Below are 22,449 nucleotides of genomic sequence, written 5' to 3'. Positions count from 1 at the left end.
TGGCCCAGGGCTGCCCAGAGCCCCTTCCTGCCCAAGTGGCAGCTGGCCCGCTGGATCTGCAGGTGGGTCTTGGGGACACTTCTCATCAGCTCAGCCACGCCGCCCGGGCAGCTCCTCATGAAAGGCCTGCCTTGTGCGCCTGGGTGTGCCCAGGCCGCCGACGTCACCCGAAGCCCCTTCTCATAAATTCCAGCTCCGAGGTTTGCAGTTATCGGGAGGAAGTTTCCAATTGCTGGCTCACATGTGGGAAAATATGTAAGCAAGTGAGAGGCCCTTTTGTCTGGGGCTCAGAGGGGGCCAGTAACCAGGAGGGAGGGTGGCCTGTCCCCAGTGGCGGGTGCAGAGGAAGCGGCTGCGCTCAGGTTTAATGAAGTGCCATGAATCATGACCACCCATCAGGCGCAGATGCTATAAATCACCTGTGACGGGCTTGGCTTGTTTGTTCTTTCTGAAGCCAATACATTGATCAGGGCAGTGGACACGTGAGAAGGCTCACTGGAGGCTCAGACCCTCAGCGACCTGCCGAGGTGAAATCAAACCCTCTTCTTTTAACTTGCAGGAAAACAAGGCCATAAAAAAGGAACTCCTACTAATGAAACCTCCTAGATTCCAAGGAGGAAAACGTAGCTCTCAGACCAAGTCCGTTTTCGCCCTTGCATCTGAAAGGGAGTCCAGGGAATTGCTAATTTTGAACTTTCTATACACCCTTCCTGCCTCTGGATGTGGCCGCCTGACTCGAATTCCTTTGCACAATAAAATGAGGGGGAAAAAAATCACATCACTTCAGCAAAACACAGGCTCGATTTTTCTTGATTAGCGGAAAAGTGTGTGCTATTTAAAAAGACACGTCATATAACTTTTTATTTTTTAGCATTCCCAAGCAAAAAAAAAAAAAAAAGGAGGGGAGTGTGCATTTTGGGAATATGAGCTCAGCTCAGCACCTAATTTGGAAAGACCTTGTGTTTGGTGATGGACTTGGAAAAACAGGCCTGAATCTGCATTTTAAGAAGATGAGATGTGCAGGGTTTCATTCCTTCTTCTCCTGGGCTTCTCTCAGACTCCAAAGAGAAGGGCCCTCTGCTTCTCAAAGTTCACAGGACAAAGGGGCACCTTGGTCCATGGCTGAGAAACTGAGTTGACCCTTAGGGAAGGGTGACCAGGCTCCCTGGCAATCTGCCATCCCTAGAGGACCCCATCTGTACCTGCCTGCTGCTGTCACCTGGCTGATGTCATTCTTTTTTGGGGAGGGTGGTCGGCGATGGACCCTGGACTGCCTCAGGGCGGTCTTTGGAAGTGGCCTCTGAGTGCGTGTTTAGATGACTCCTTGACAAGCACTGGTTTGCTTGTCATCTTCCTCTTCCTCCCCAGAGTGAGAGCAGGAAACCAGGCCTTGTCAACTGCAGGCCTGCACTCCTGCCCCTGGGCGGCCCCAACCTGCACACGCCGCCTGCCCGCCCGCCAGTGCCAGGGCGCCCGCTGCCTGTCAGGAAGGCCAGGGAGCAGATGCTTGTGCCGTGTGCATGGTGGCCGAGCCTGTGGTTGGGCCACGGGTGCAGGGATCCTGTGTGGCCCCTGCCAGGACCGTGGGCTCTGCAGGAGGGCCAGGGCCATAGCATGGGGGAGGCAAGGGGAACCTTGTCATGGTCCCTGTCCTCAGAGACCCCTCCAGCCAGACCTTCCAAGGTGGGTGGTGGGCATTGGGGCCCTGCCTGGAAGAAGCCACTGCCAGCCCCCTCTATGGGACCTCAGGGACCCGCTGGGCTGCGAGCTGGGAAGGGCTCAGCTCAGCCTAGGAGGGCAGTGTGTTTCCAACTTCGCAAGGTCGGCTGAGCACAGGGGTTGAGGAGTCAGTGTCCTTCAGGGAAGGTGGCCCTTCCTTCCTGGTCTTGGCCCATGTCAGCTCTAGAATGTAGGCTGGCTGCAGTGGGGGAGTCTGGACTAGAGGACACTTTTGGGGGGCCTCCTGCTATACTCTGCGTGGGAGAATACAGGAAAAGCCCAGGTCTCAGTAGGCCAGTACCAGCCAGGCTCGCCCTGGGCTCCCATTGACGCTCTGTGGAGTGTGAGGGTCTCACCCCAGACTGGGAGGAAGGGGTGTGAGGCTGAGAAGGCCAGTGACATCCTCGGATGACCTGGGATGCAGCAGAGCTGAGCTGGGGCCAGATCTCATTTCTCCGCCTCAGTGCAGCCTGCTAAGCGTGTTTTCTGTCTGTGGCTGTCTAGGTACGTGGCCAGCAGGCAGGGTCCTGTCCTCAAGCCCAGTGGCTCTGCTGGGGTATAGGGCTGGCCACAACTCACTCACTCATTCATTCATTCATTCAGTCAGTCAGTCAGCCAACGACCATTGTGAGCACCCCCCTCCTGCCCCCCACCTCTGCTGCCAGCCACAGCATCAACCCTTGAAAGTTGCCACAAATACTTTCCCCGGGGCCTGGCTTCAAGTCGCATTCAGAGCAAATCAGAGCTCCTCATTTTGGGATCTTGTCAGGAAAATGAAGGTGTTGAAAGCTGCTCCCCACAGCCCTGACCCAGGGCACTGGACATGGGAGCAGGCGGGGGCCGAGGTCCGGCAAGCTCTGGAACCCCATCCCGCCGTCCTTGGCCTCCCCATCCTCTCCTCTGCCCCTCAGCTTCCTCTCCTGGCCCCTCTCCCCCGGCTTCCCTTCCTTGCAGGGCAAAAGGAGCAATTGCCTCTCTGTGCGTTTCTATTTCTGCACCTTCCGCTTCCTGGCTGGTGGCCGGCTGGCTGCTTCAGAAAGTTCTGGAATCCGCAAGGCCAGCTGGTCCTGGGTCAGGATGTGGGGGCCTCAGATTTCCTTCTCCCCAACAGCTCCACAGGCGTCCCAGGGGCCGGGCGCCCAAGGGTGTCGGGGAAGGCTGTCACCAAGTGAAGGGATTGGGGAGCAAGTGTGTGAGGGGCAGGCAGATCAGCTTTGTCATGGTGACTGACCAGTGCCTGCACTGGCAGGCAGGTAGAGGGCCTGCTGCTGGTTCCACGGACACGCATTGTGCACCTACTGCACACCAGGCCCTGTTCTAGGCTCTGGAAATGCAGTGACGAACAAATACACATACTAGACTTTATTTTGTCCTTTGCAATAGCCCGCAAGGTAAGCACCTTTACTATCAATTTTTCAGACAAGAAAACGAGTTTTAAGTGATTTGCCCAAATCTACATAGTTAGCAAACCACTCAGAATTCAAACACAGGCAGTGGGCTTGAGGCTGTGCCCTTGCTCATCCTCTTCAATAAGTGGATGGTTGTGTGTGTACCTGTGAGAGAGAGGTGGAGAACAGGGGGCTCCAGGTATAGTCACTAGAAGTCTAAATTGTAGTGTACTGTATTAGTCTGTTCTCACGCTGCTAATAAAGACAATACCTGATACTGGGTAATTTATAAAGGAAGGAGGTTTAATGGACTCACAGTTGCACGTGGCTGCAGAGGCCTCACCATCATGGTGGAAGGCAAGGAGGAGCAAAAGCACATCTTACATGGCAGCAGACAAGAGAGTGCGTGCAGGGAAACTCCCACTCCCCTTTATAAAATCATTGGATCTTGTGAGATTTACTCACTATCACAAAAACAGCACAGGAAAGACCTGCCTCCATGATTCGATTGCCTCCCACCAGGTACCTCCCATGACACATGGGAATTATGGGAGCTACAATTCAAGATGAGATTTGGGTAGGGACACAGCCAAATGAAACCATACCAAACACATTTTTTTTTTTTTTTTTTTGAGATGGAGTCTTTCTGTCACCCAGGCTGGAGTACAGTGGTGACATCTCGGCTCACTGCAGCCTCCGCCTCCTAGGTTCAAGCGATTCTCCTGCCTCAGCCTCCTTAGTAGCTGGGATTACAGATGCCCACCACCATGCCCAGCTAATTTTTGTATTTTTTAGTAGAGACGGGGTTTTGCCAGGTTGGCCAGGCTGGTCTTGAACTCTTGACCTCAGGTGATCTACCTGCCTCGGCCTCCCAAAGTGCTGGAATTACAGGTTTGAGCTGCCACGCCCGGCCCAAACACATTTTTAAAAAATATCTCAGTGTTCCAGTGTCTGGTTGTGAATCCTCACATCACCTCTGGGCCTGCCTTAGGGCCGAGGTAAGAGCATGCAGGTATTGGGAAATCTGACTTGGAGTCACACACTCCCTCTCTGGGCCTCATGCTGTCTCTGTGGAAGGAGCTGCTGGTCTCTACTGGGCAGGGGTGAGGCCAGTAGAGTGGTGCAATGGGTACGACCAAGCTGGCAACCCATGCCATGTGTGCAGGGGAGAACACGGCCATCACCACCCAACACTACTTGGAGGGCTAGAGGTGACCCCGTGGGCAGCTGCCCATGCCTAGAGACACATGGAGATATACATTGGCTGCTTAAAAAATGGGATTGTTCTAGACCTGCTTTCCTGAAACCTGTTTTGCTCACAGATTGGTACAGCGAGGTCATCTTTGCATGTCAATAAAAACAGAAAGCAGGGCATAATCTCCATTGCCTGGCAGCATCCCCTGCATGGTTGCATCATCATTTTAGGGACCATTCTCATGTTGATGGACGTGAGTGCTGTTCCCAGTTCTCCTCTTATCAGCGACTCTGTACGGAGCCACCTTGGACACGTGTCCTTTAACACGCATGCGAATAGCGCTGTGGGCTAAGTTCCTGGAGGGAGGATTTCTGGATTAAAGGGTTTGCAAATTTTACACGTTGATTCCTATGGGAGGTGCCTCTGTGTTTCTGAGGAAAGCAAGAGGATGGGCCCTTAACATTGCACACAGGGTTATTGATGAGTTCGGGGAGTGCCTTCTTCTTTATATTAAAAATCTTTTTTCTTTACTACACTTCAGTGTAGGAAATCCAGGAAGTACAGCAAAGTACTCGTTCATTCATTCAGTCATTCATTCAGTCAGCCAACTATTTTTTTTTTTTTTTTTTTTTTGAGATGGAGTCTTGCTCTGTCACCCAGGCTGGAGTGCAGTGGCGAGATCTCGGCTCACTGCAAGCTCCACCTCCTGGGTTCATGCCATTCTCCTGCCTCAGCCTCCCGAGTAGAGTAGCTGGGACTACAGGCGCCTGCCACCACGCCCAGCTAATTTTTTGTATTTTAGTAGAGACGGGGTTTCACCGTGTTAGCCAGGATGGTCTCAATCTCCTGACCTCGTGATCCGCCCACCTCAGCCTCCCAAAGTGCTGGGATTACAGGCGTGAGCCACCGCGCCCGGCCCCAACTGCTATTAATGAGCACCGCCTTGCGCTCCCCAGCTCTGCTGCCAGCCAGAGGATCATTTAAAAATTGAAATGGCCTGTTACTCCACACAGAGGTAACCTATTAATCTATCTGTCTATCTCGTATGATATTTGGTTCGTTAAATGTCTTATCATAAGCCCAGCCCTGTGTTGTTAAATAGCCTTCAAAAAGATAATAATAACAAGACCTTTGGCCGGGTGCAGTGTCTCACGCCTTTAATCCCAGCACTTTGGGAGGCCGAGGCAGGAGGACTACTTGAGTCCAGGAGTTCAAGACCAGTCTGGGCAACACAGCAAGTCCCCATCTCTACAAAAAATAAAAATAAATTAGCTGAGTGTGGTGGTGCGCTCCTGTAGTCCCAGCTACATGGGAGGCTGAGGTTGGAGGATCGCTTGGCTCAGAAGGTGGAGGCTGCAGCGAGCTTTGAGTGCCACTGCACTCAGCCTGGGTGACAGAGCAAGAATCTGTCTCAAAAGAAAGAAACAAACAAACAAAAAGAAAAAGTTCACCATAGCTCATGCTTATTGTAGAAAACTTGAAAAATTTGGAGCATTGGAAACTGCTCAGTGTCTGTGTTTACAGGCTGGTATGCTTCACTGTGGTATATTTGTTATGCGTATGCAGACGTTTCATTTTATGTAATCAGTATCATATTGCGGTACCAGTTTTGTCTCCTGCATTTCACTTAACAGACCGTGATTATTTCCCCATAGTGTTAAGTCATTTTTGAAACATGATTTTTAATGGCTGAATAATGTTTTATAGAGCAGATGTTTCATCAATGACCTGTTTTTGCTGTTTCCAGCTTTTACGCATTACAGGAAGTGCTGTGATGTTCCTACTTGCACACAGGTCTTTGCACACATGCAGAAGGGTTTTTTAGAGTCATTCTTAGAAGTTAGATATGAAGTCTAGCTGCATAGTGCCAAACTGTCCTCCAGAAAGCTGGTAGCAATTATATTCCCACCAACGTTGTAAGAGAATACGGCCATCAACACTGCTGAGTAAGGATATTTTGTCTATAATGGCTGCAAATCACATTTCTTTGCTTACTAGTGAGAACAAACACCTTTTTAAAAATAGGATTATCAACCATTTGTATTTTGCTCATGAAATTCCTATGTAGCTTTTAGTCAGTCATCTAGTGGTCATTGGTCTTGTTGATTTTTAAGCGCTTTTTATATATAACAATATATTAATCTTTTGTTTTCTGCGTTGTGGTATTTTAGCAGTGTCTTTTGAGTAATCAGTTTGGTTTTTTTCTTAATATAGAGACTTTTATTTCATGATCAAATGTCTTGAACTTCTTTTTGGTCACTATTATTTTGTTCTTTTTTTTTTGACAGTCTTGCTCTGTCGCCAGGCTGGAGTACAGTGACGTGATCTCGGCTCACTGCAACCTCTGCCTCCCAGGTTCAAGGGATTCTCCTGCCTCAGCCTCCTGAGTAGCTGGGACTACAGGTGCCCACGACCACACCTGGCTAATTTTTGTATTTTGAGTAGAGACAGGGCTTCACCATGTTGGCCAGGATGGTCTTGATCTTATTTTGTTCTTTTTTAAGTTCAGAAAGATCTTTCTTAACTAGAGCTTGGTTAACTGTGCATTTCTGTTTCTGCAGCTGGGGCCCAGCAGCACCTCAGCTGGAATGTGGCGTTTTTCGTTGCAGGGAGAAGTGGTGAACCTGCGGCCCTCAGGCTTGTACCTGCTTCACTGGGGGAGGCTTCGGTGAGGGGGTATCTGGGGGACAGAAATGGCCTGTAGGGTGATCCCACCCTAGAATGTTCAGCAAAGCCTACAGAAAGGGGGTGCTCTGCTCTCTCTCTGCAGAAGGTGGCCCAGCTCAGCAGACACTGTGTGGATGTCACAGCCCAGTAGTTCAGAGGACCCTGGACCACCACCTAGACAGAGAAGGCCACAGCCTTGGCAATGTCCAGACCCTTCCTCCTCTGATCCCACAGGTGTGGCGTCACCCAGACAGGAGGCTGCAGCTGTAGAGTCAGACAGCCCCCTTTCTGCACTGGCAGGAGACGCCCAGGACTGGAGCCTTTGGCGGGGGTGGGAGGGCTGATGGCGGGTGTGATGGGGTGGGAGGGTGACGGGACAGTATACCTTAGGTGTGCATGCTCCTGTGGTCTCATTCCTATCTGTAAATGGGTCCCCCCATTTGTCCTAGCTTTTACATGAGGACACACATTTGTCCTAGCTTTTATATGGTTCTATATTTTCCAACTACTCATGTGTCCCTGGGTTTGCTCATTCATTCATTCATTCATTCATTCATTCATTCATTCCCAGTGCCAAGACTGAGGATTCAGCAGTGGATGAGCTTGATAGTGAAAGAAGAATCAACCAACCATGGGAGGATGAGATAAGCTCAGCAGCGGGGAGGGCATGAAGCCAGGCAGGGGACAGAGCTGGGTGGGGCAGGATGTGGGACATTTTAGACGTGGGAAGGAGAGTGGGGAGGGGAAGTCTCGTTCAAGCAGAGACACTTGAGACACTTGAGGAGGGTCTGGTTGAAGCACACAGTGGTTGCGGATCAGTGTTCCAGGCGAGGGGCAGGGAGGTGCTCTGTGGGCAGAGGCCCCAGGAATTCATTCTGGAATCAGTGATGAGACTGGGACTTCGCTTTAACGGATCCCGGACCCCTAATTAGACCGTCCCATCTTCCCTAAGGATTAAAATGCCACCTTCGCAACACGCTAAATTAGTGTGTGCATAGCAGGTGCCGTTGCGGGCATTTTGTCAGGTCCCTGTGAGTCCCCACCTAAGGTGCTATGGTGGGAGGGAGTGATAGCCAAGGAGAGGCAGGGAGGGGCTCAGGGTTATGTGAGGAGGGGTCTTTGGACTCCAGAGTTCCCCATCTTACAAGTTAAATGTCTGGAAATACATGGCTTTTGGCCCCACCAAGAAAGCCAATGATACTGTAATGCCCAGTTCTTGCATTTGGAGTGGTTTGAACGATTATGTAGTAACTCCTGAGAAGAACAAGCATTTTACTTCCCCCACCATCCCAAAGATTCACAGGTCTGTCCTCCTTGGGACAGTGGAGAGACAGTGGATTCCTGCCTGAATAAGCCCTTCTCACCCCACATGACTATGACGCTTTGTAAAGGGGCATTGCAGAAGGATGTGCTGGGGGTGGCAGAGAATCCTGTGGAGCTCTAAGCAGGGCTTCCTCAGGAAGAGAGTCCCTCTCCTGCCCCTCCACAAGGTGGGTATCCCCAGGAATGGGGCCCCACTCTCCATCTTGGAAATAGAACACAGGTGTGAGGAAGGCCAGGGCCCCCCAACCCCCTCATTGGGGCAGATAGGGGTCCAGATGAGGCAGGTTCAACCCAAGGTCATCAACAAGTACTAGCAGAGATGCCTGGAGCTGGCGGGAGGACAGAAATGGAAACTGCTCATGGAAGCCCTGGGCAGGCGTGGGATGGGAATAACTTTCACCTGGCTCAGTTCAGGGGAGAACTGTGTTTTCAGTATAGTTAGTGGGTAATGACCAAGTTATTTATCTCCAGAATAAGGGTAGGACACAAATAGCTAAAATTAGAAAGTGGAGACAATACTACCAACCTTACAGGGATGAAAGGATGATAAGATAATAAATACTATGGACAACTGAGCACCAACAAATTAGATAACCTAGAAGAAATGGACAAATTCCTAGAAACACACAAGTTACCTAACCTGACTCAAGAAGAAATAGCAATCTAATAGGCCTACAATTAGTAAGAAGCATGAATCATTAATCAAAAGCCTCCCAACAAAGAAAGCCCTGGACCTGATGGCTTCAGGAGTGAATTCTACCAAACATTTAAAGAAGAATTAATACCAATTCTTCTCAAACTCTTCCAGGAAAGTGCAGAAGACAGAACATTTCTTAACTCGTTCCATGAGGTCAGCGTTACTCTCACGCCAAAGCCGGACAAGGACATCATAAGAAAAGAAAACTACAGACCAATACCACTCAGGAATACAAATGCAAAAATCCTCAACAAAATATTAACTAACCAAATTCTATAACGTATTAAAAAGATTATTCACCATGGCCAAGTGGGAGTTATCTCAAGAAAGCAAGGTGATTCAGCACAAGAAAATCAACCAGTATAATTGATCATTAGGAGAATGAAGGGGCTGAGCACAGTGGCTCACACCTGTAATCCCAACACTTTGGAAGGCCAAGATGAGAGGATTGCTTGAAGCCAGGATTTCAAGACCGGTCTGGAAAAAATAGCGAGACCTCATCTCTACAGTTTTGTTTTCTTTTTAATTAGCCAGGCTTGGTGGTGTGTGCCTGTAATCCCAACAACTTGGGAAGCTGAGATGAGGGGATCACTCGGGCTTAAGAGTTTGAGACTGCAGTGAGCTCTGATTGTGCCACCGCACTCCAGCCTGGATGACAGAGTGAGATCCTAAGTCCAATAAATAAAAAAATAATAGAATGAAGGGAAAATAAAAACCCCACATGATCATCACAGTTGATGTGGAAGAGGCATTTGAAAACACTCAGCACCTTTTATGATAAAAATCTAAGTGAACTAGGAATAAAGGGAAAACTTCTCAACGTGATAAAGGGTATTTATGGAAAATCTATAGCTAACATCATATTCAATGGTGAAGGGGTGAAAGCTTTCCCACTGAGATCAGGAACAAGCTAAAGATATCCCCTTTGCCATTTCTATTTAACATTGTACTGGCAGTTCTAGCCAGAGCCATTCAGCAAGAAAAAGTAATAACAGGCATCCAAATTGGGAAGGAAGAGGTAAAACTATCCATATTCACAGATGACATCCCCTCCCCTCCCCTCACCTCCCCTTTGCTTCCTTCATTAATTATAGAGACAGGGTCTTGCTCTGTTACCCAGGCTGGAGTGTTGTGGCACAATCATATCTCATTGGAGCCTCAAAGTCCTGGGCTGAAGCGATCCTCCCACCTCAGCCTTCCAAGCAGCTGGGACTAAAGGTGTGTTCCACAATACTTGGTTATTTAAAAAAAAAGTATAGAGCTAAGGTCTCACTATGTTGACCAGGGTGGTCTCAAACTCCTAGGCTCAAGCAATCCTCCTGCCTTGGCCTCCCAAAGTATTGGGATTATAGCTGTGAGACACTGCACCTGGCCTCATAATCTTTTATAAAGAAAATTCCAAAGAATACACAAGAAAGTGACTAGGCTAATAAATGAATTCATCAAAGCTGCATGGCAAAACATCAGCACACAAAAGTCTGTTGCGTTTCTATACACCAGCAATGAATAATCTGAAAAGAAAATTAAGAAAGCAATTCCATATATAATAGCATTTAAAATAATTAAATACTTAGGAAAATACCTAGCCAAAGAAATGAAAGACTTTCATGCTAAAAACTACAAAACACTGCTGAACAGAATGAAAGGATATCTAAATAAATGAAAAGACATCCCATGTTCACAGATAGAAAGATTTAACATTGTTAAGATGTCAATACTATCCAAAATGTTCTATAGATACAACATAATTCCTATCAAAATTCCAAGAGCCTTTTTCACAGAAATGGAAAATCCAATCTTGAAATGTGTATAAATTGCAAGGTGCCCCAAACTGTCAAAATTACTTTGAAAAAGAATAAAGTTGGAGAACACACATTTCCCAACTTCAAAAAAATTACTAGAAAGTTACATTAATTAAGAGTATGGTACTAGCATAAGAACAGACATATAGACTGATGAAATAGAATAGATAGCTCAGAAATGAACCCTCACATATATGATCAATTGATTTTTGACAAGAGTACCAAGACCACTCAAATGGGGAAAGAATAGGTTTTTCAATAAATGGTGTTGGGAAAACTGGCTATTCACATACAGAAGAATGAAATTGGACTTTTACCTTGCACTATATACAAAAGTTAACTAGGATCAAAGACCTAAACTGAAGAGCTAAAACCATACAACTCTTAGTTAGAAAACACTGGAAAAATCTTTTTAACACTGGATTTTATAACAACTTCATAGGTATGACATCAAAAGCACAAACAACGAAAGAAATGAGATAGATAAATTGGAATTCATCAAAATTAAGATTTTTTTTTGCATCAAAGGACATTATTTAAAACGTGAAAAAGGCTCGGTGTAGGGCTCACATCTGTAACTCCAATACTTTGAGAGGCTGAAGCAGGAGGATTGCTTGATGCCAGGAGTTTGAGAACAGCCTGGGCAATGTAGTGAGACCCTAACTCTACAAAAAAAATTAGCAAATTAGCCAGGTGTGGTGGAGTGCACTGGTAGTCCCAGCTACTCAGGAGCCTGAGGTAGGAGGATTGCTTGAACCCAGAGGTTTGAGGCTGCAGTGAGCTATGATCACACCACTGCACTGCAGCCTGGGTGACAGAGAGAGATGCTATCTCTAAAAACAAAATGAAGCAAAAAAATGACACACACTGTGAAAAGACAATCTACAGAATGGAAGAAAATGTTTGCAAATTGTATATCTGAGAAGAGATTAATATCCAGAATACATAAACAACCCCTACAACTCAACAACAATAAAAACCAACAATGCAATTCAAAATGGGCAAAGGACACAAAGAGACATTTCTTTAAAGAAGATGGCCGGGCGCGGTGGCTCAAGCCTGTAATCCCAGCACTTTGGGAGGCTGAGATGGGCAGATCACAAGGCCAGGAGATCAAGACCATCCTGGCTAACACGGTGAAACCCTGTCTCCACTAAAAATACAAAAAATTAGCTGGGCGTAGTGGTGGGCGCCTGTAGTCCCAGCTACTCAGGAAGCTGAGGCAGGAGAATGGCGTGAACCCGGGAGGCGGAGCTTGCAGTGAACCGAGATGGCGCCACTGCATTCTAGGCTGGGCGACAGAGCGAGACTCCATCTCAAAAAAAAAAAAAAAAAAAAAAAAGAAGATATACAAATAGCCAACAGGCATAGGAAAAGTCATTAGGGAAATTCAAATCAAAACCACAATGAGATACCACCTCATGCTTACTAGGGTGGCTATTACTTGAAGGAAAAAAAAAGGAAAATAGCAAATGTTGGTGAGGGTGTGGAGAAACTGGAAGCTTTGTGCAGTTTGGTGGTTCCTCAAAAACTTAGACATAGAACTAAATATGACCCAGCAATTTCATGCCTAGATACGTACTCAAAAGAACTGAAAGCACACCAGTGTTCACAGTAACATTATTCAGAGCCAAAAGGTGGGATCGACCTAAGTGTTCATCAACAGATGAATGGATAAACAAAGTATAATACATCCAGACAATGGAATATTATTCAACTATGAAAACTATGAAAATACATGAAATTTTGATACATGCTGCAACATGAATGGACCTGAAAAACATTATGGCAACAGTCTTTGGGAGGCTAAGGCGGGTGAATCACCTGAGGTCAGGGGTTTGAGACCAGCCCGGCCAACACCGTAAAACCCCGTTTCTACTAAAAATACAAAAATTAGCCAGGCTTGGTGGAGCACACCTGTAGTCCCAGCTACTCGGGAGGCTGAGGTAGGAGGATCACTTGAACCCAGGAAGCAGAAGTTGTCATGAGCCGAGATCACGCCACTGCACTCCAGCCTGGGCAACAGAGTGAGACTCCTTCTTAAAAAAAATAAAAATTATATATATATATATATATATATATATATATATATATATATATATCAAGTGAAATAAGCCAAATACAGAAGGACAAATACCATATGACTCCACAAATATGAGGTGCCTGTGATAGGCAAATTCATAAACAGAAAGTAGAATACAGGTTACTAGGGCTGGAGGAGGGGGAGAGGAAGATTATTGTTTTATGGGTACAGAGTTTCCTTTTGGGAAGATGAAAACTTTCTGAAGATTGATGATGGTAATGATCATACAACACTGTGAATGTATTTAATGACACTGAATTGTACACTCACAAATGATTAAAATAATAAATATGATTTTATGTGTATTTTACCACAATAAAAAGTAGAAGTAAATCTGTTACAGGAATGGATTGTTCCCCCAAAATAATAATAATAATGAAAGGAGGCTGTTGGTTCAAGCTCCTCCCTCCCGCCTTCTGCTTCAAGCATGTGCCTGCAACAGCCAAAGGTTATAAACTGGTGGGTTTGAAGCAATGTCTCAGCACAAGACATGAAATGTACCACCTGTGCTGGTGCTCTCCTTGTGATAATAATGGTTATTAGCAGAGAAGCTGGGCAGGGTTGGACGCAGGGCCATCTGGACCCCTGAGCTCTGCTGCCCTGGCTGGGAAATTTAGGGTCCTCACTATGTGACAAGGACCTCTTAGCAGGAAGCACAGACTAAGTGGAGGTCATTGCACCTGGGCTTGTGGGGGGGCCTCGGATGTTCACAGCCCCTACAGGGGAGCACACAGCTGAAGCTTGACAGGGAGCCACGGATGGCTTCTCTTTGGAAAGTTCTGCATACCAGAAAGTTCTTCTCCTACTTCCCCAAGTCAGTCTCCCTGCATCTCCCTGACCCCACCAGCTCCAACTGTGGGGCCTGTTCTCCTCCATGGAGTTGTGAAGACAAAAGTGAATGTCCTTTCATGGGACTCACCTCCAGATGCTCAAAGACAGTATGACATCCCCCAAGAGGCCTCGTCCCCAGACCATCCACCCCGAATTCCTCCAAATCTTCCTCATAGCTCCTGTTCTGCTATTTTTATAGCACATGCTTTATTGAAGGGCATGACTCACAGACAGAAAAGTACACAAATCGAAGTTTACAGCTTGAGACAGAGGTTGACCAGAATCCTCCCCAGAAGCCCAGCATCCTTTCCAGTCATCGCACCCTGCAAGGGAGCCACCAGCCTGGCTTCTGTCGCCACAGATGAGTTTTGCCTGTTTTGAACTCGACTTAATGTGATCATGCAGAATGTGCTCTTTTGTGCCTAGCTTCTTTCACTGAACATGGTATCAGTGAGATTCATCTATGACGTTATGTGTAACATAGTCCATTCATCATCATTGATCAGATTCATCATCATATGAAGATACCACCATTTATCCATTCCACTACTGATGGGCTTTTTATGTTAAGAACATTCTCATATATGTCTTTTGGGACACATATATGTGTGTTTCTTGCGTGTTTACCGAGGGGTGAAGTAGCTGAGACATAGGGTAGGTGAATTAGTCTGTTTTCACGCTGCTGATAAAGATATACCTGAGACTGGGCAATTTACAAAAGAAAGAGGTTTAATGGACTCACAGTTCTACCTGGCTGGGGAAGCCTCACAATCATGGTGGAAGATGAAAGGCACATCTCACATGGCAGCAGACAAGAGAAGAGAACTTGTGTAGGGAAACTCCCCTTTATAAAACCATCAAATCTGGTGAGACTTATTTACTATCATGAGCATAGCACAGGAAAGACCCATCCCCATGATTCAATTACCTCCCATTGGGTCCTTCTCACAACATGTGGGAATTGTGGGAGCTACAACTGAAGATGAGATTTAGGTAGGGACACAGCCAAACCACATCATTAGGCATGTTGCAGCTTTGTAGAGACCACCAAACCTTTCTCTACTGTGGGAGCGCCACTTACTCTCGCCAGCTGAATGTGAGCATTCCAGTTGCTCCATATTGTCTCCAACACTTGGTTTAGTTGGCCTTTGTCAGTATAGTCCTTCTGGTGGAAGTAGCATGGGGTTTCTGAATGTCCTTGCTATGCTAGCCCCACAACAAGACCCAGCTATCTTTGCTCCTCTCAGCACAGAGCTATGGGAGGGCTCTCAAGTCTTTAACCTGGTGTCTCATCTTCTGTTACTGTAATCTCCCATTCCACACCACCTCTTTGGCAGACACGTGACATTGTTGGTTCATTTTGAGCTTACTGTTGACTGAAACTCTAAGGTCAGAGCCATCCTCCGCCATGCCTGGCTTCCTCTTCCCCACTGTTCTCATGTGGAGGGTTCTTGGAGTCATGGCAGTTCAAGTCCCAGAGCCTAGGGACCTCACAGCCAGGTAGCTCTGCAGTCCCCATGGCCTGGACGGCATCCACTCTGTGTGAGAAGATGGGGCTCAGCGTTCAGCTTCTGCTGCCACAGGGAGACCTCAGGCAAGGCCCTCTGCCTTCTAGGCTTGGGTCTCTGCCTTTCCAGTCAAGGTGATAAATTCACCTGCCCAGACTGTTGCTGGGAGACTTATCAGGGTCTCTGGATGCTGGTGAAACCCCAGCCCCAGCCAGTTTCCAGGTTATTGACACCATCACAAGAAAGAATTTAGAGACAAGTCAGGTGAAGCGAAAGGCAAGGAGCTTTTATTGCAAATCCAAAGTACACACTCAAGAGGGAAGCACAGTGTACTCATGAGAAGTTTGAGTTTCTAATTTTGTGGACGTTTCTTTAATTAAAGGGTGGAATCATCAGGTGTTCTGGAAAAAGAGGGGATTTCAGGGACGCCCCCTGGTTACTGCCCTCTTTCTCTCTAATTTGGGTTTGCCTGGAAGAGTCCTGGATATATCACCCTGACCGCTGTGGCTCAGGCCGTTTTCTCTCCCTTATTTTGGGTTTTCTGTTATCTTGTGGTTTCTTCGCCTAGTTCCTGTTTCAGCTTTTTGGGTTTTTCTATCCTCCTGCCAACACCTCCTGCTATCTCACTTTCTGTCTCACAACAGGAGGTCCTGGAAGTGGACCTACTTTATCTACTGCAAAAGGCCTCAAGAGTGGATTTTTGCTGTCCCTCTTAGAGCCCTCACTGGCATTCTCTTGGCAGGTGGGAATCGGGTGGGATTCCCAGTGGACAGGCCATGCCCCTTTGGCTGTGGGCATGTGTGTCACCTGCTCCTCCCCCTCCCTTGTCCCTTCCCCTCCAGCCCTGCCTCTCCGCATTCCGGGCTCTGACTTACTTGGTTTTTGTGTTTCCAGTGTCATCTCTCCTTCTCGCATCCTGTCTCTGTTTCTGTCTCACTCTCGGTCTCTCTCTGAATCTCTCTTTTCTCTGACTTGGCAGGTCTGAGGTGCCCGCTGCCTGCTGAGGCTCCCTCCTCTGGATGAAGGCTCCTAGGAAGTTCATGTTACCCTGACACGGAGCTCATCCCTGATCCCAACCACAGGGCCTGGCACCTGCTCCGAGGGCCAACAGCCTCCCAGGCGCCTGTGCCAGCAGGGAACACCTGCAGCTTCTGCTTGGCAGCCTCCAGGAAAATGGGGTGCAAGCAAGGCCAGGACAGAGGCAAGACAGGTCGCTTCACTCAGTCCCTGCCGCCTCTGAGGGGACTCTACCCTCAAAGGAGCCACGTAGAGTGCCAGGCCTGGAGGACACAGCACCTCACCTTGTGTGGAAATGCAGCATGGGAAGGACCGCAGTCATGACCGTGGGAATTGCCGGCATTTTCCACGACTTTGCTTTCTCCTAGGCCCTGTGCTGAACACATTTCACGTGTGACTCAGGGGATCTTCCAGGCAACACTGCGAGTGACTTGTCACAAACAAGGAAACGGCGGCATGGGGTGCTGCTGGCTCAGGATGGGGCAGGCCTGGAACCTGAGCACACTGTCGGGCCCTGGACCCCTCACCATCCTGCAGTGCCAGGAGAGGGCAGGGGCGGCCCCCAGGGAGGGCACCCACCCAGCCTGAGAACCGGTGGGGGTGGGCAGGAGGAGAGGGAGTTGTTCCCGCTATAACCCAAAGGATCACGGGGAAGCAGCCACAGGAAGGGAAGGGTCAGGGTGGGGGAAAGAGGCAAAGATCTGGAGGCGAAGAGGGTTTTGGCTCCTGGGGAACTGAAGGAAGCATAGTGCAGTTTGAGGACCCACTAGGCAGGGCTCTGGGGTGGGGTGGGGTGTGGGCAGCTGCATCATGCATGCTCCTGTCTCAGAGAAGACAGTGGCATTTCTGGTCCTTTTCTTGCTACATGGGGTGAGCTACTGACCATGTTACACAGATCTAGAATTTTCTCCAGTTTGGGGGTTTCTCTCAGAATGATAATAAGGCAAATTCCTCTTGTACTCCCCAGATGGACCTGTTCTTCCTACCATCCCTTCTCTGCCTCAGGGAGCCCAGTGGGTACAGACCTCCCTGGAACTGCCTCCAACTCACCCACCCATCCACCCGTTTATCCACCCACTCACCCATCCAGCCATCTTCCTACCTATGATGGTTAACTGTATGTGTCAACTTGATTGGGCCACAGGGTGCCCAGATATTGGGTCAAATGATTCTGGGTGTGTCTGTGAGGGTGTTTCTGGATGTGATTAGCACAACGATGTGTAGATGGAATAAGCAGTGTGCCCCCCTACCCCCACTCCCAGGGATGGGCCTCACCCCATCCATCCAGGGCCTGTAGAGAACACAGGGGCCCACCCTCCCCCAGGCCAGTGGGGATTCTCCTGCCTCCCTGAGCTGGGCCACTGGTCTTTTCCTGCCTTCAGATTCAAACTAAACCGTGGGCTCCTCCTGGGTTTAGAGCCCACCAGCCTCTGGACTGGAACCACACCACAGGCCCTCCTGGGCCTCCAGCTTCCTGATGGCAGAGCCTGGAACTCACTGGCCTCCATCACTGTGTGAGCCAGTTCTTCAATATAATTCTCCTCTATATACACACACCCTATTGATTCTGTTTCTCTGGAAAACCCTGACTAATGTCCCTCCACATTCTAGTGCCTCCCGTGTCCCCTCCGTATGCTGGGTCCTGTGCCCCACATGGGGACTCTGGTGAGAGCAGGGCGTTTCCTCAAACACACGCACCACTCATGTGAAAGCACACACAGATATTCTCACATGCCCAGACACAAAAGCACACAGACTCGCCCAGGCACCCACACCCACACACAGAGTGTCTGTGCAAGTACACACGTGCACACATGTATGTTCCCAGATATCCACAGAGAGACCTGTGCCCTGACAGGTGCCTGGGCATGTTAGCTCAGGTGCACACCAAACTGTAGCTGCAGGCCACACGAGGCACACGCCCTGCAAACACAGGCCCATGCCCCAGTGCACACGGGCAAAGACGTGTGTGCTCCCATGTGGGTGTGCATGCTCATCAACTCACATGGGTGCCCTTGACCAACTCACACAGCACACAGGCTGACTCACAGACACGCAATACCCCTACACACACATGCACACATGCACACGCATGCACATGCACGTCGGCCCACAGTCATCCACGATGGTGAGTATTTTCCACGTTCCTTGTTGCTAACCGAGGTCACCAGTTGGGACTTGCTAAATTGCTGCTGCAGAAAAAGAGCCGTCAGCAGTTTCTGGCTCAGGCTGCCTTGCGGGGGTGCCCTCTGGCTCCTCGGCTGCCTGGTAACCAAAACCCAGGCCCGGCCTCAGGAATGCTGGCAGCAGGAGGGAGGGGGAGAGTGCATTTACCCCGTCATTTAAACATCTCAGTGTGGTACACAGCACAGCTCGGTGCTGCCCGTGCCCAGCCTGCTGTGGGCACGTGAGGGGTGGGGTGGCTGGCGTGGCTGCTGGTGCCCAGGGATCCCGGAGTCAGCATTTGCCCCGGGCCCCCCCACATCCTGCTGCCCAGAGCCCCCTTCCTGGTCCCCACTGTGGCCTCTGTCTTGCTCACCACACCCACCCCACACCCTACGCCCTACTGAGCCCCCCCGATGTGGACCCCCTCGCTCTTCATGTCCCTTCTCTGGCCACCCCCACACAAGCATGCTTCTGGGGGCTCTGCAGGCCCCCGGTGGTCTTGCACCCACAGCTGGGCTGAGGACAGCGCCCCAGCTGCTCCGCTCTCTAGGCTTCCCAGACTCCACAGGGCCCTCAGCCTCGGCTGTCCTCAGGGCGCTGCCTCCTTCCTCCTGTCCTCGTCGCTTCCTCCTCTTCCTCCTCCCCCATCCCTTTCATAATGAGTTTGCTGTTTCTGTCACTTGCATGTCCTTCTAAGTCAGGCCTAGCAATGGGGTTGGTTTCCAGATGAAACCAACTGGACATGCTGGCTTCCTGAGAGGGAGCCCTGAGGAGAGATCCTAGGGGGGAATCCTGAGGGAGGGGGTCCTGAGGAGGAATCCTGAGGAGGGATCCTGAGGAGGGAATCATTAGGAGAGATTCTGAGGAGGGATCCTGAAGAGGGATCCCGAGGAGGGAATCCTGAGGAATCTTGAAGAGGGATCCTGAGTGGGGATCCTGAGGAGGAATCTTGAAGAGGGGATTCTGAGGAGGGATCCTGAGGCGAAATCTTGAGGAGGGGATTCTGAGGAGGGATCCTGAGGAGGAATCTTGAGGAGGAGATTCTGAGGAGGGACCTTAAGGAGGGATCCTAAGGAGGGAATCCTGAGAAGGGATCCTGAGGAGGGATCCTGAGGAGGGATCTTGAGAGGGATCTTGAGGAGGGAATTCTGAGGAGGGATTCCAAGGCAACCACATCACAATGACTGGGGAGTGAGGGTTTTACGGCCATTCTTACCCCCAGATGACAGGTCAGACTGTGGTCAGAGGGATGTCTAAGCCACTAAATGTGACTGTATCAATTTAATACCCTGCAAGATCTCCCCATTGTCTGGACTTTAGGACACAGCTCATCACCAATGTCTACATTTTCCTGCTTGGTCACACTCATCTCTCCCCACTAATACTGGTCCTTCTGGCAGTTTATGGAATGAACCACATTCTTTCTGACCACAGGGCCTTTGCACAGGCAGTCTGTGAATTCCCTCCTCCTCCTGACTGGGGGCATGGGGCTGTGTCCATGCAGACAGGTGGGCGCTGTTCTAGCTCAGGCTGCTGTGACAAAGCACCACACACGAGTGCCTAAATAGCAGGCATTTATGTTCTCACAGTCCTGGAGGCTGGAAGGCCATCATCAAGGTTTCACAGGGCTGGTTCCTCCTGAGGCCTCTCTCCGTGGCTTGTAGACACTGCCTTCTCCCTGTGTCTTCACATGGTCATCCCTCTGTGTGTGTCTGTGTCCTCATCTCCTTTTATTAAAAGGACACAGTCATATGGGATTAGGGCCCACCCTAATGACTTCACTTTAACTTGATTACCTCTTTAAAGACCCTAGCTCCAAATGCTGAGATACTGGGGGTTAAGAGCTCAATGTGTGAATTTCAGAGGGATACAATTCAGCCCATCACAGGCAGCTTTTAAAAATTCACCCAAATGTTCCATGTGAGTGAGCAAGGGCTCTAGATGCCACCTCATTCTTGTTCCAATATCTTCTCTGACCCCAGCCTCCTTCGTTCAACCCCTCAAGCACTCTGTCCAAGCTCACTGGTGGCCCAGGACACTCTAACTCAGCTGGTAGTGTTTGATCCCCCGAGAGTGGGAGCTGCAGGAGCAGGCATTGTGTCTCACTCATCTGCTGACCACTGGGAGGAAGAAGGCTGTGCCCTGGCCAGTGCTGTGCTGCTCTGCTGCTCTGTGCTGGGCTGTGGAGGCAACCACGCTTCTGCCCTGCCCTCCTAAGGCCCATGGTCCAGCCAGGGGGATGAATGGATGTCACAGCATGAATTGTTGGACCCTTTAACAAAGGCCTACAGCATGGGGTTTCCAGAGGGGTTGGGGGATGGCTTCTTGGGGGTGGGATTCTCTGGGTGGATCCAGTCCTGGTGGCTACAGGAAGGGATGGGCCACATTTGTCTGGCATCCTGCCTACAGTAGGCACCGGTTTCCACCACCCAGTGTCCACTGTTGTCTTTGGATCACAGCACCTGAATGAATCCCTTTTTGGCCCTGAAGCCACCAGCACTAGGCATGGCCTGGGCAGAGGTCACCACTCGTGTGCCCAGCTTCTAAAAGCCAAGGGTGGTCATTGCCCTGGGCAGGGTTCTTTGGACATAAAAACAGAGGTGGATGGCGGCAAGGACAGAAAACAGAAACGGCTTCAGCCAGCCCATTCCGTCAGTGACTTCTGGTGGGACAGCTGTCATTCACAAACCTGGGAGGACTGGGTGTGCCCTTGGAGGCTGGTGAACAGGGGGGGCCCACAAATGGATAAAGGGCCTGTGCTGCTTGCACTAGGGTGGGTCAGTTGGCCTGGAAAACAGAAGGGCAGCTGCCTCCTTCTCTAGACTGGCTCTGTGGTCATCTTTCACCTGAGGGCGTCTGTTTAAAAGAAAATCCTCAGAACAAGATGTCGAGATCAGCCGGTAGCTCTCTTGTCCTCCATTGGCCCAAGCTCCCTGGGGGCAGGCCAGAGTTTCTGGGCCTCTGCATTTCTGACATTTGGGGCTGGGCCATTCTTGGGGTGGGGCTGTCCTCGGCCCTGTAGGATGTGTAGCCGCAGCCCCGGCCTCTGCCTGCAGGATGCTCATAGCACTCCTCCCCTCTCCAGAGTTGTTACAGCCAAAAATGTCTCCAGGCACTGCCACGTGGCCCCTGGGGGCACCATCACCCCCTGCTGAGACCCTCTAATCTAGCCTCAGTACCTTGTACTGTTAACTGGACACTGTGAGGGGCCACAGGGCCACGGGTCTGAGGTGGAGGCAGGCGTGTCCATGTGTGTCTGGGGTTTCTGCAAGGGGAATGCTGGTTCCAGCCGGTTTCTTCAGGGGAGTTACGGCTGTGCCTCTGGTCATCTCTTGGCTTTCAAGAATGAGTTTTCTGGGCTTTTCCTTCTGGGCTTCCCTGGAGGATAGAGGTGCCCACTCATGAAGCCTGTGCCTCGAGACTTAGGGCTAAGGGGGCTCTGCTTGGTTGGGGAAGGGTGGTGGACTGCAGGGCCTCGAGCTTGGAGGAAGGACCGGGGGTCCCTGAGCAATATCACAGAAGCTTTAGGAGCCAGCAGGCCCAGCCAGGGGATGCTGGACAAGTGCGGGAAAACTCCCCAGGAATCCTGGATCCCATCTGTGGGGTCTCTGGCTGCCTCCTTCCTGGGCTTCATCCCAGGACCTGGCCCCGATCTGGATGGTTCTGTCACTGAGGGCAGGGTTCTCATCACCTGGAGCCCTGCTGTCTGCAGCAAGAGGGAGGGGCCTGGGACCCTCTTGCTGTCAGTGGTAGAGGCTAGAAGAGGTAGCTCAAGGACTCCCACCCTTCTCCCCTGCCCACACACGAACTCTGGCCGACTGCCCTCTCCCGACTCAGCCAGCTGCCACCAGCCACTGCATTCTCTGGTTCCTTTACTCCAGCCCATCTCTGCCAGCAGCACCTCGCCTTTGTTCCTCTCTGTCAAGAAGACAAAGATCCAAGGCAAGGCGCGGTGGCTCACGCCTGTGATCCCAGCACTTTGGGAGACCAAGAGGAGAGGATCCATTGCCTGAGCCCAGGAGTTCAAGACCAGCCTGAGCAACACAGCGAGAC

At 49.9% G+C, this 22,449-nt stretch overlaps 4 annotated features.

The window, feature by feature from the left end:
* Window positions 7,115-7,874: a transcriptional cis regulatory region, noted in NCBI's record as "candidate enhancer chr11.3769 targeted for multiplex CRISPR interference". NCBI's record gives its function as "positively regulates CCND1 and MYEOV gene expression with high confidence in K562 cells {active_cell/tissue: K562}" and the evidence as "EXISTENCE:mutant phenotype evidence [ECO:0000015][PMID:30612741]".
* Window positions 15,577-16,212: a transcriptional cis regulatory region, noted in NCBI's record as "candidate enhancer chr11.3768 targeted for multiplex CRISPR interference". NCBI's record gives its function as "positively regulates MYEOV gene expression with high confidence in K562 cells {active_cell/tissue: K562}" and the evidence as "EXISTENCE:mutant phenotype evidence [ECO:0000015][PMID:30612741]".
* Window positions 16,484-16,984: an enhancer, noted in NCBI's record as "H3K4me1 hESC enhancer chr11:69215486-69215986 (GRCh37/hg19 assembly coordinates)". NCBI's record gives its function as "activates a minimal SCP1, AML or CMV promoter by ChIP-STARR-seq in primed H9 embryonic stem cells {active_cell/tissue: H9 hESC(primed)}" and the evidence as "EXISTENCE:reporter gene assay evidence [ECO:0000049][PMID:30033119]".
* Window positions 17,685-18,447: an enhancer, noted in NCBI's record as "H3K4me1 hESC enhancer chr11:69214023-69214785 (GRCh37/hg19 assembly coordinates)". NCBI's record gives its function as "activates a minimal SCP1, AML or CMV promoter by ChIP-STARR-seq in naive H9 embryonic stem cells {active_cell/tissue: H9 hESC(naive)}" and the evidence as "EXISTENCE:reporter gene assay evidence [ECO:0000049][PMID:30033119]".

The sequence above is a fragment of the Homo sapiens genome, chromosome 11, assembly GCF_000001405.40.
Source record: "Homo sapiens chromosome 11, GRCh38.p14 Primary Assembly".
NCBI classification, from domain to species: domain Eukaryota; kingdom Metazoa; phylum Chordata; class Mammalia; order Primates; family Hominidae; genus Homo; species Homo sapiens.
The sequence above is the reverse complement of the archived record's forward strand: the minus strand, read 5'-3'. Positions and strand labels throughout refer to the sequence as shown.